At 36.8% G+C, this 13,869-nt stretch overlaps 1 long non-coding RNA gene across 1 annotated transcript in view; it reads left to right on the top strand.

Moving 5' to 3' along the window:
* The first annotated feature begins 139 nt into the window (after window positions 1-139).
* The window catches only part of LINC01687 (long intergenic non-protein coding RNA 1687), an 89,302-nt gene continuing 75,572 nt past the window's right edge, over window positions 140-13,869 (top strand). Inside the window, exons 1-2 of the long non-coding RNA NR_109959.1 lie at window positions 140-286; window positions 2,013-2,070. This is a non-coding gene — a long non-coding RNA (long intergenic non-protein coding RNA 1687). The remainder of the gene's footprint in view (window positions 287-2,012; window positions 2,071-13,869) is intronic.

Here is a 13,869-nt window from a genome sequence, read left to right as displayed (position 1 = left end):
CATGGCTAAGAGGCCCTGGAAACCAGCACATAATGGGTTTTATAACCACAGAGTTCCATGGATCACTGGGTTAAAGCATTGAAGGACATTCTGTTTCTAGGGAAGGACTGGGAAAGAGACCAGGCTGTTCCAGATAGTTCTTTCTTATCTCAGGACATTGCATTCACAACACATTCTGCAATCATTCTTGAGAACTCTAAGTGAGAAAATGGGGAGAAACGGGTTGGTCTAAGGTCACCCAGAGAATTATTCTCCAGTCAACATATTTCAGTATATCTGCAGCAAGGTAATGTGATATGAAAATATACAAAATTTTAATTGGCAACAAGATAGGCCAGGCACTCTAATACTACTTTGTATTGTTTGCATATATCTAAGATGTACTAAATTTCAGTTAGATATATTAGTGAACATAAAGATTTAACTTTTTTGTTCCCCTACAAAGTTCATAGGTTGAATCCCATTGTGGGCTGTGGATACAGAACCATTGTTGTAGTGCTTGGGTGCATGGTTCAACAATGGCTATTAAGAAAAGTGAAATACTAATTTTCCCCCACCACATACCCCTATTATACTCTTCGAGGGCCTTCTATCCAATATTGTCCAAAACAAATTCCACACGTAAGGACCTTAAAATCAATATGGTGCAGAAGACAGGCTGCATAGCAGAAGAAACAACTCTGTCAATGTGTTTATTAAAAAGTCCTTTAGGTGTCAAGATTATTTTACTGACAACAATTAATTTTACTGACAACAATTAATATGTAAATTAACCTTACAAATATACACATTTAAAAAAATTTTTAAATCTTTTGCAATATTCTTTTCTTACGGATTTTTATAACAAGAAACATAAAGATTTAAGGCCATTCAATAAAACATGTTTTCACAATAGGCATATATGAGTACTTAGCCTAGCCAATCCCCATATTGGCAATGAAAAAGTAATTCCTTGCAAGAAAGAATATTTGTAAAGGAGATATAACTCACACATATGTCTCATTCCTTGGAAACTGATTCAATCAGAGAGCCAAGAAAAATACTGAATAAAATATAAGTTTTCACACTTTATGAACTAGGGAAAATGGAGTGCATTAAACACAAAACTCCAGGAACTACTTCTATTGAATAAAGCAGTAGGGATTCTTGAGTTGGTCAGTTGCCCTAATGAATAGAGTCTATAATTAAATCAAGACCCTAACAAAATGACTTTTATGATGAAAGAAAATGGCTGACAGGAAATAAAATGTGTGAATGTGTCTTAAAAGCTTATCAAAACAAAAGAACAATATTTTCAAAGGAACTTTGTAAAAATATAATTTACAGAAATAATCAAATTATAAGCAGACATATTAAGAAAGCAATTTAATTGTCCTTGACCTACTTTAGCAATTGAGTCCTTCTTGATATTCCTTCTCTTTTAGGGATTTCTTTTCATTTTATAATTTTTTTCTGAATTAAAATGTAAAGTGACATCAGGCATACCTTATGATTTTTATTTGAAATTTAAAAGGGTTTATAAGGCTAGAGTTAGCATTTTATATATATATATATATAGTATATAAATATATACACATCTGTATGTACATAAAACACACATTATGCAACCACATATATAGATATATAGCATATCTATAATAATGTTTATATTAATTAAAATAGTTGTTTTTTTGGTAATGTTAACTTCTCTGAAATTAACACAGCTTCACAGTAAAAAATAAAGGGGGGTACTGCTAAAGAGTATTTTTAATGTCCTTAAATAAGCAACTTACAATTTCCATAAAATCAGTGAGTAATAGGCAAATTTATTTTGGGATTTATAGTTAAAACCAACACAAAGAAAACAAACTTTAACCAGACATATGAAATCATTCAGACCAGTGTTTATGATGTTACTTGCTGGATGACATTTATTTCATTTACTCTAATTTGTAGTATATTTGCTTCCTATAAGTGCTAATTCCTATGAGTGCTAATATAATAACTATGTATTGTATATTTCACTTTTATAGATCATATTTCAAGTGTGCTGGTAGAGCTTCTCCTTTGATGGAAACATTTGTTATACAGGTAACTTTTATATGCTTATACAGCAAACATTGCATGGGTGAAAGTTTGCTCTTGGGTGTGTGTGAAACGTTTCTTTAAAATGATCACTTACTAGGAAATGTATTTTTTTTCTAAACACAGGCAACTGTTCTAGATTTTGTGTATGGCTTTTTTGATACCCTTATAATTCTCACAACACAATATCCATTCAATAAATGTGTGTGACAATATATTATTTCACTTACATTGCTCAACTATTCCATCAATTTCATCAGTTGAGTATGAAACAAGAAAAAAAGTACACATATATAAAAGATAGATATATCAGTTGATTGGATGGATAGAAGGATAGATACGAAATATATAGATAGGTTGGTAAGTGGGAAGGCAAAAGATAGAATTGTGGATGGGAGAAAGAGAGAGACAGAATGAGAGAGCACAAGAGAAAAGAGAGATGACAACATGGCATTTTAAAACATAGCTTTCTAAAATCAGATCTGTGGATTTGATTGCCTCAATCAGAGTCCTGGATTTATACTTGACTCTGTGGTCATAGAAGAGTCTTTAAAAAAAAAAAATATATATATATATATATGTATGTATGTATTTAAGATTCATTTTTTTTCCAATTTAAAAAACATAATAATTTAAACAGAAATATAAAAATCAACCTAAAATGGCCAGGCACAGTGGCTCACGCCTGTAATCCCAGCACTTTGAGAGGCCGAGGCAGGTGGATCACCTGAGGTCAGTAGTTCAAGACCAGCCTGGCCAAAATGGTGAAACCCCGTCTCTACTAAAAATACAAAAAATTAGCCGGGCATGGTGGCGGGCACCTGTAATCTCAGCTAGTCGGGAGGCTGAGGCAGGAGAATTGCTTGAACCCGGGAGGTGGAGATTGCAGTGAGCCAACATCACGCCATTGCACTCCAGCTGTGGTGACAGAGCAAGACTCTGTCCAAACAAACAAACAAACAAATACAAACCTAAAATGTGTATAAATGCCTTTAAAAAGTTCTTATAAAAAGGGCTTACTTTTAAGTGAAATTCTTGCAATTACTTCAATATCTTTTTTCTTTTATTTCTTTTATTTTTTTCTTTTTTGAGACAAGATTTCACTCAATCTCTAAGGCTGGAGTGCAGTGGCACAAACTTGGCTCACTGCAACCTCCACCTCCTGGGTTCAAGCGATTCTCCTGCCTCAGCCTCCCAAGTGACTGGGACTACAGGTGCACATCGCCATGCCTGGCTAATTTCCATATGTTTTACAACTTAAAATAACACCCACTACAAAGAGTAAGAAACAAATGTTTTCAGAAAAATGGGGAGAGTATAGTTATACTTTTTGAGGCATTCCTAATGTTATTAGCATGTTTTCTTTCTACATTAATCCAAAGAGCACAATTTCCTGAAAATACAGTGCAAAGAGGTATATTGTGAAGAATGAGAGTAGAAATGCATAGTCTTGACCAGTGAAACTGACTTTGGGGAAAAAGAAGTATTTTAGGGAAGGGAATAATTCCACAGGTGGTGCACATTGGAGATTGTTTATGCACTTATGTTTTCAAGTTTCATAATAAACCAGAGAAGTAAGCAGAAATTGTAACAAGAGAATATATATTTCTAGATGATGAATCTTGTAAAATTAACTTCTTTCAGAGATAAATATATGAAAATTTTCAAACATGGGCCTTCTCAGTGGAAAAAAACTATAAAAAAGGAAAAGTTAAAATTATTATGTCTAGACATGATATACACAATATTTCAGAGACAGTTTTAGAAATTTCTTGTCAATATTAATGAATAAAGGAAGATTGCTGCAAGAGATTTTCATTTACATAAACTCCACTTTCCCTGTGGAGGGATTACATCTTGAGGAACATTGCCACCTTTTTGCTGTGCCTGTTCATCATGTTGGTGAATGGCATCCATTTCTTAACTCTTCTCGATTAGGTAGAAGTAATTTACTATAAGTTGCAAGCGTTAACTGAATCATTCATGTTCTTGTTTTATTGTTCTACCCTGTTTAACAACAAGTCTAGCTAAATACATGAAGCTTGAAAATGTGCACTTTCCTAGGTGTGATATCCTGGTATTGAGACTGGTATTGTAAGCATTGCTGGAGATGGAGAGTTTGCAAGGACTTTGGCCACAGATTTTAAATGTTCTTTACCAAATCCACTTTCAGTGTCAATGCTTATATTGTAGTTCCATCTGAACGTATCTACTTTTTTCTTAGATTGGCACAGACCCAGGATGTAAAGAAAAACACACTATTTTTACCTCTCCTTATAAAATAACATCAGAAAATTATAATCACTACTTTTTTTTTTTTTTTTGAGATGAAGTCTTTCTCTGTTGCCCAGGCTGGAGTTCAGTGGCACAATCTCGACTCACTGCAACTGCAACCTCTGCCTCCCTGGTTCAAGCAATTCTCCTGCCTCAGACTCCCAAGTGGCTGGGATTACAGGCGTGCACCACCATGCATGTCTAATTTTTGTATTTTTAGTAGAGGCGGGGTTTCACCGTGTTAGCCAGAATGGTCTCCATCTCCTGACCTCGTGATCCACCTGCCTCGGCCTCCCAAAGTGCTGGGATTACAGGCGTAAGCCACCACACCCAGTCATAATTACATTTTAAAAAATATAATACCTATGAATTATGTAAGATAGGTAGAACACAGAATTACTGTCATGAAAATTAAAATGTATTAAACATTATTTTAGATTAAGATAGAGGCTATATAAAATTGAAGGAGTAATAACTTAAAAATCTTTGAACTATTTTTGCTATAGAAGATAGGGAACATATAAACACAAATGAAATAAGTAATGATATAATGGAAAGTTAATGATAACTTATTATAGGATTAATAGATAATCTTGGTTGATTTTAGAAAATAAACACCAATTCTCCACTAACTAAAATAAAAATACTTATGAACTAGGAAAAAGGCAAAAACTCTCATGAATGCACGTAGAAAGGTAGATGCATATTCAAAGAAAAATAAAAGCAAAGCAGTGCAAAACAAAAACAACAGCAATTTCTATACCTTGATGACACTGGCAAATTTGAATCAAAGAAAAGCATAGAGAAATAAAAGTCAGATTAATGTAAGACGTCTTTGTTATAGAAATAAATTTCAAAAAACAGTTGGGCAACATTTCTAAACTTTGAGGGCAAAATGTTTTGCCCCAATACTGGAATATTGAGATAAGTTTTCTTTCATATCTTTATATGATCTTGGACAATTTCGGATATCCAGCATCTCAGGGGATCTGAGATGATTTAGGAATAGGAATATTGACTCAGGTTAGGTACCTTGCAAGGAAAGCCTAAGAGAGGAATTCTTGTAAAGGCAATTCTTAAGGTAGCATTCTTAGAAGCGGAATAGAGAAATTGACTGGCTAGACAATGAAGAAAGAATGAGATCTTAATTAGAGACAAGAAGTGGCCCAGTTTCATAGGGCAATTGGAGCATGAGTGGCACCATAATGTTGGAGCTTCTTTGAGGGCACACCACCAGCCTTTGTACCTCTGTGCCAGTCAGAGGGACACTGGATGACTGGCTGCCCTGGGAGCCAAAACTTCCCAGATGAAACACCTCTTATTTAAGTGAGGGCAATAACCTAATAGAGACAACTGTGTGCCACTAGCAGCCAGCAATCAAAGCAAGCAGAGAATGGGCACGACAGCTCAGTGAAGCGGCTCTGACTGGGGTCCAAGACATCCTTACATTTCCTCCCCTACAATGCTTAGTTTAACTTGTTTATTAATAACATTACTGTTCACAATTTCTGTGAAATGTAGTAAAAGGAACATTAATGTGAGGATCTGGAGTCTCTGCTGCTTTAGTTGCTACCAAGGCTATAACAAATATCTATCATCCCTCTTATTCTCTTTGATTCTAGATTCCAATTTCATGCACCAAACACTTCTGCTGAGCTCACTTCTGAGCAACTAAATAGTGGCTTCCCTAGTAGATTAAAACTGAACCTTATCCATGAAATGTCTGGGTTCTTGATAACCAAGCTTATCTAAGGCTCCGTGTGCTAACGGCATTACAGTTAAGTGTGTCATATGGCAGGGGCAGGGGACCAAGATGGCCAACTAGAAATAGCGGCAATCAGAGGCTCCCATCGAAAAGAGCCAAAACAAGTATGTGAATCTTTCACCAGCAACCAAGGTATCCAGCTTCTCTCATCAGAACTGACTAGGAAGCTGGCATGCTCCACAGAGAGAAAGGAGGTGCAGTGTGGTGTAGCAGCCCACCTGAGAGCCACACGAGCAGGGGAGCCTCCACCACCCAGCCAAGGGAGGTGGTGAGTGAGCATGCTACCCAGGCTGGGAAACCGTGCTTTTACCACAGAAATGTGCAACACATGAAGTGGAAGATCCCACTCACAAACCCATGCCACGGAGCCATGCAGATTATCAACAGCCTCTCAGCTGGAATAGGCTTAAGCCTACCAATCTCCCAGGGGGAGGGGCGACCAGCACCACAGCTGCAGCTGCCTGCTGTCTCAGCCATCTGAGCTTCTTGGGGAAGGGGCAGCATTCAGCACTGGGACTCACAACTTCCTAACACACTAAGGTCCCTGGGCAGGAGAAGGGTGGCATTCATCTCTATAGCTCCAGGCTGTGCTTTTCCCCTGCTGGAGCCAGGGAGGCTGGACGGCTTGGTCCCAAGATGTGTCCCCCACAGCCCAACACACCAGCTGTGGAAGACTGCAGCCAGAGTGCCTCTTCAGGCCTGACCCCGACTCATTATTCCTCACTGGGCGGGGCTTCCATGCAAGAACTCCCGTAACTCCAGCCAGAGGCTCAGGGACAGAACCTGAATCTCTCTGGGCCTGATCCCCTAGGGGGATGGGTGGCCACAGACTCTGTGGACCAGGAGACTTATCCTTTCCTCCTGGTAGTTCTGAGGAATATGGGCAGCCTAGTTGAGTGGGTTTCCCCCCAGCAAAGCACACCCCCTCCACCAAGGGACAGTCAAGGTACTTTGTTAAACATGTCCTGTTTCCCGTTTCACCCAACTGGGTAAGACCCTCTGACAGGGGTTGTCAGACATCCTATACAGGAGCGATCCTACTGGCATCAGGTTGGTGCCTGCCCCTCAAGGTCAGAGATCCCAGAAGAAGGAGCAGGCATTCATCTTTGCTGTTCTCCAGCCTCCTTGAGTGACATCTCCAGGAGTGGGAGTGAACCAAGTGAATAGAACCTGAAGTGAACCCCCAGCAAACCCCAGCGGCCCTGCAGAAGAGAGACATGACCATTGAAAGAAAAACAACAAACAGAAAGCAACAATAACAGCATTGACAACAAGATAAAAGCCCCCCCCCAAAAAACCCCATCAAAGGGTTGGCAGCCACAAAGATCAAAACTAGACAAACTCACGAAGATGAGAAAGAATCAACAAAAAACAGCTGAAAACCCAAAAGGCAAGAGTGCCTCTTCTCCTCCAAATGATCACAGTGTCTCTCCAGCAAGGTCACAGAATTGGATGGAGGATGAGATAGACGAATGGACAGAAGTAGGTTTCACAAGATGGGTAATAAAAAACTACCCTGAGCTAAAGGAGCATGTGCTAACCCAATGCAAGGAAGCTAAGAACTTTGACAAAAGGTTAGAGGAGCTGCTAACTAGAATAACTAGTTTAGAGAGGAACATAAATGACCTGATGGTGATGAAACACACAGCATGAGAACTTCATGAAGCATATACAAATATCAATAGCCAAATTGACCAAGCGGAAGAAAGGATGTAAGAGTTTGAAGAACACTTTGCTGATATAAGACATGCAGACAAGATTAGAGAAAAAGAATAAAAATGAATTAACAAAGCCTCCAAGAAATATGGGACTTCATAAAAAGACTGAACCTACGATTGATTGGAGTACCTGAAGGAGACGGGGAGAATTGAAACAAGCTGGAAAACACACTTCAGGATATTATCCAGGAAAACTTCCCCAACCTAGCAAGGCAGGCCAACATGCAAATTCAGGAAATACAGAGAACACCGCTAAGATACTCCATGAGAAGATCAACCCCAAGACACGTTATCACCAGATTCTCCAAGGTTGAAATGAAGGAAAAAATGTTAAGGGCAGCCAGAGAGAAAAGCCAGGTCATCTACAAAGAAAAGCCCATCAGACTAACATTGGACCTCTCAGCAGGAACTCTACAAGCCAGAAGAGATTGGGGGCCAATATTGAACATTCTTAAAGAAAAGAATTTTCAACCCATAATTGCATATCCAGCCAAACTAAGCTTCATAAGCAAGGGAGAAAGAAAATCCTTTTCAGACAAGAAAAAGCTGAGGGATTTCATTACCACAAGGCCTGCCTTGGAAGAGCTCCTGAAAGAAGTCCTAAATATGGAAAGGAAAAACCAGTACCAGCCACTGCAAAAACACACCAAAATATAAAGACCAATGACATTATGAAGAAACTGCATCAACTAGTGTGCAAAATAACTAGATAGCATAATGATGACAGGATCAAATTCACACATAACAATACTAACCTTAAATTCAAATGGGCTAAATGCCCCTATTAAAACACACAGACTGTCAAATTGGATAGAGTCAAGGCCATTGGTGTGTTGTATTCAGGAGACCCATTTCATGTGCAAAGACACACATAGGCTCAGAATAAAGGGATAGAGGAAAATTTACCAAGCAACACAAACAAACAAACAAACAAAAACAGCGGGGGTTGCAATTCTAGTTGCTGTCAAAACAGACTTTAAACCAACAAAGATCAAAAAAGACAAAGAAGGGCATTATGGTAAAGGGAACAATTCAACAAGAAGAGCTAACTATTTTAAATATATATGCACCCAATACAGGAGCACCCAGATTCATGAAACAAGTTCTTAGGGACATACAAAGAGACTTAAACTCCCACAATAATAGTGGGAGACTTTAACACCCCACTGTCAATGTTAGACAGATCAACGAGTCAGAAAATTAACAAGGATATTCAGGACTTGAACTCAGCTATATAGACATCTACAGAACACTCCACCCCAAAATCTACAGAACTCTCCACCCCAAATCAACAGAATATACGTTCTTCTCTGTGCCACATGGCAATTAATTTAAAATCAGCCACATAATTGGAAATAAAACACTCCTTAGGAAATGCAAAAGAACGGAAATCATAACAGTCTCTCAGACCACAATGCAATCTAATTAGAACTCAGGATTAAGATGCTCACTCAAAACCACACAATTAGATGGAAATTGAACAACCTGCTCCTGAATGACTACTGCGTAAATAATGAAATTAAGGCAGATATCAAAAAGTTATTTGAAACTAATGAGAACAAAGAGACAACATGCCAGAATCTCCCGGGACACAGTTAAAACCATATTAGTTGAAAATTTGTAGCACTACATGTCCACATCAGAAAGCCAGAAAGATCTCAGATCGACACCCTAACATCACAATTAAAAGAGGTAGAGAAGCAAGAGAAAACTAATCCAAAAGCTAGCAGAAGGCAAGAAATAACTAAGATCAGAGCAAAGTTGAAGGAGATAGAGACATGAAAAACCCTCCAAAAATTCAATGAATCCAGGATTTGTTTTTTTGAAAAAATTAACAAAGTAGATAGACCACTAGCTAGACTAATAAAGAAGAAAAGAGAGAAGATTCAAGTAGACACAATAAAAAATGATAAAGGGGATATCACCACTGACCCCATAGAAATACAAACTACTACTATATAGATAATATTATAAACACCTCTATGCAAGTAAACTAGAAAATCTGAAAGAAGTGGAAAAATTCCTGGACACCTACACCCTTCCCAGACTAAACCAGGAAGAAGTCGAATCCCTGAATAGACCAATAACAAGATCTGAAATTGAGGCAGTAATTAATAGCCTACCAACCAAAAAAAGCCCGGGCCAGACAAATTCACAACCAAATTCTACCAGAGGTACAAAGAAGAGCTGGTACCATTCCTTCTGAAACTATTCCAAACAATTGAAAAGGACAGACTCCTCCCTAACTCATTTTATGAAGCCAGCATCATCCTGTTACCAAAACCTGGCAGATAACACACACACAAAAATAAAACTTCAGGCCAATATTCCTGATTAACATCGATGCAAACATTTTCAATAAAATGCTGACAAACCGAACCCAGCAGCACATCAAAAAACTCACCCATGACAATCAAGTAAGCTTCATCCCTGGGATGCAAGGCTGGTTCAACATACACAAATCAATAAACACAATCTATCACATAAACAGAACCAAAGACAAAAACCATATGATTATCTCAATAAATGCAGAAAAGGCCTTTGATAAAATTCAACATCGCTTCATGTTAAAAACTCTCAATAAACTAGGTATTGATGAAGCATATCTCAAAATAATAAGAGACATTTATGACAAACCCACAGGCAATTTCATATTGAATGGGAAAAAGCTGGTAGCATTCCCTTTGAAAACCAGTACAAGACAAGGATGCCCTCTCTCACTACTCCTATTCAACATAGTGTTATAAGTTCTGGCCAGGGCAATAAGGCAAGAGAAAGAAAGAAAGTGTATTCAGATGGGAAGAGAGTAAGTCAAATCGTCTCTGTTTGCAGACAACGTGATTTTATCTTTAGAATACCCTATCATCTCAGCCTAAAACCTCCTTAAACTGATAAGCAACTTCAGAAAGTCTCAGGATACAAAATCAATGTGCAAAAATCACAAGCATTCTTTTACACCAACAACAGACAAGCAGAGAGCCAAATCATGAATGAACTTTCATTCACAATCGCTATGAACAGAATAAAATACCTAGGAGTACAGCTTACAAGGGATGTGAAGGACCTCTTCAAGGAGAACTACAAACCACTGCTCAACGAAATAAGAGAGGACACAAACAAATGGAAAAACTTTCTGTCCTTATGGATAGTAATAATCAATATCGTGAAAATGGCCATACTGCCCAAAGTCATTTATAGATTCAATGCTATTCCCTTCAAACTACCACTGACATTCTTCACAGAATTAGAAAAAACTACTTTAAATTTCATATGGAATTAATTGCTTGTTGATAGAACAAGGGGATACCAATGTTAAAATTGTTTTCAAAAGAGATTTTACTTAGCACTTCTACAAAGAGTATATATGAGTCTGTTTAAATTCAAAGTAATAAATTGGTATTATTATATTTCCTAGATGTTTCCAATCAAGTAAGTGTGAAATAGTATCACATTGTGGCTTAATTTACATTTTCCTGATTACTAATGAGGTTGAGCATCTGTTCATATGTTTACTCAACATGCGTTTTCTTTTTTTTGCTGCTATATCTTTTCCCCATTTTTCTCTTGCCTTGCTTGTGTTTTTCATATTGGTTTATAGAAGTTCCTTATATACTGTAAACATTAACTTTTTGGCAATTATGGAAAATCTTTTTAAAGTTTAGTCTTGTTTTACTTTCTTTTCATAAAATGAATTCTTAGTTTCCATGTGGTAAACTTTGTTATTCTTTTATTTTATGGTTAACAGAATTTGTGTTTATTTAAGAAATTCTTGTTTAATAAATTTACTCAGATCCCAACATCAGAAAAATACCTAATACACTCTTTGAAAATATTTAGAGATCTGTTTTTTACTTCTAATTGTTTGATTCTCAAGTGATGGATTTGTGGTTACTAAGGTTGTTCTTACATCCCATTGTGCATCTGTATCACTTAGATGGTTCATTATAACATGAATTGTTGTCCCACCTAACAGAGTTTGTGATTCAGCCATTCTGTGGTTGGGCCCAAGATTATAGATTCAAACATGTTCTCAGTTTATATTGATGCTCTGGACTAGGCGCCATGCTTTGAAAATCAATTGTGCACACTCTGAGGCTGGAAAACCAATTTAACTTATATTCTCTAAGGATAGTCAATGTAATTTATTTTCTGTAAGGATAATTTATTTTCTATAATTGTTTTAGAATGTCTACTAAAGTAAGTCTATAAAGTTTATAATTTCCCCAGTGACCTAAAATGCCAAATGTCATACATAATTTTTATTTCTTTGTGGTTTTATAGCTCTTTTATTCCATTGATCAATTTGTTTATTTCTGTTTAATAGCACATTAACTTATTTGTATGGCTTTATAGAATAGCAAGTTAACCAATGTATTCTTACTTAGTAAGATTTGGGGTATTCTTGGCACTTAATTCTTGTATACATTTCATAATCAATATGAACATGTCACAAGAAATCCTATGGGTTTTTTGTTGAAATTGCACTGAATAATACAACAATTTTCTGAAATTAGATGGCCTTTTTGTATTTTTTCCTCTGTACATATAATGTAATTTAATTATTTCTCTTAGAATTTTCTTCAGGTAGTACTGAACATCTTTTTAAATTTTAATTTGTCACTAAGTTAAATTTGTATATCTATGTCTATCTTTCTATCTAAACTTATAAATAAGCAGAATCTATAGCTATGTCACTGCTTTTTTCAGTTTTTATTGTGAAATATGTGTATGTTCATAGGCAGATGCACAAATAAGGTAGTGAGATCTGGTGCAGCCTTAACTTCATGTCCTCTTATGGTAACATGTAATTATAGTACCATATGAAATTTATAAAATTAGTCTTTGTACAATCCAGAGAATTTACTCTGATATTTTAAGGTTAACATACACTCATTTGTGTAGTTTATATGTATTTGTGGTTTTCTCATATGTGTAGATTACTGTAATGACCACTCAATCAAGATAAAAAAAAAAACTGTTTCATCACCACAAAACTTCTTTGTGCTATCTCTTTATAACCAAACCCATGCCCTTGTGCACTCTCCCCTAAGCCATATCAACCACTATTCTATTCTCTATCTCCACACAATTTTATCATTTTGACAATGTTATATAAATAGAATCATATATAATTTGTTTCTGATATTGAGATTTTACTTAGCATAATTCTGTTGAGATGAATCTATTTTGATTCATCTATGGAGATTTTGAATGTACCTCTTTGGAGAGTTTTTAGAGGTTGTTCTAGGAATCACATTATGAAACTTAATGTGTTAATGTTGCTGGACTTCACAACAAAGCATTTGTAGTCTTGATGCAATTTATTGAACACATAATCACAGCGTCTAAAGGAAACCACACATGATAAACTCTGCTATGCATGTATCTGCCACATCAAATCTGGAAAAGGCATGAAGCTACAGAGATGTCAATGTCTCTTGAAGACATGACACCTTGGTCAGTGTGTCAAAGGTCAACTCACGTACAGTTACTTGAGGTGGCTTTCTTTCCATTATTTTTACCTTAAACAGGACAGTTAATTGCTTTTTCCCCCTTCCCTACAGTTTGTTTCAATCCCCAGGCAAGGCCTTGAAGTAAGTGCTGTGTAGTCATCCTTGCCACATGGCATGGTTGCATGGGTAGATGTTCAAAGACAGCCCACAGTGAAAGCCTTTCAAGGGGGAATTTACCAATATCCTAGAGCTCACCACAGCAAAAAGGAAACAAAATCTTCTAATTTAATTATTTTTTTTTAGAGTATACCAAACATGGGGGAAAGTATACACTCAAGCACAAAGTAGGTAACAGGTTTTCCAGAGAAGCTGGTGAGCAGGTGAGACCCAATTATTCCGTGAGCTGTTCTTAATTTTGGTTTTGCTACCATGCATCACATGCTTATTATCTGCTAAGAGCTTGATACCCAAGTCTTTCTAACAAAATTACAAAGTAGATGTTATTTTTTCCCATTTTACAGATGATTAACTGAGGCTCAGAGAAAGGAAGTAAATTTGCTCATAACGGCAGAACCAATAGGGGAGGAGTCGAGAT

The sequence above is a fragment of the Homo sapiens genome, chromosome 21 (assembly GCF_000001405.40).
Source record: "Homo sapiens chromosome 21, GRCh38.p14 Primary Assembly".
NCBI lineage: Eukaryota > Metazoa > Chordata > Mammalia > Primates > Hominidae > Homo > Homo sapiens.
Note: the sequence above shows the minus strand (reverse complement) of the source record. Positions and strands in the feature narration are given on the sequence as shown.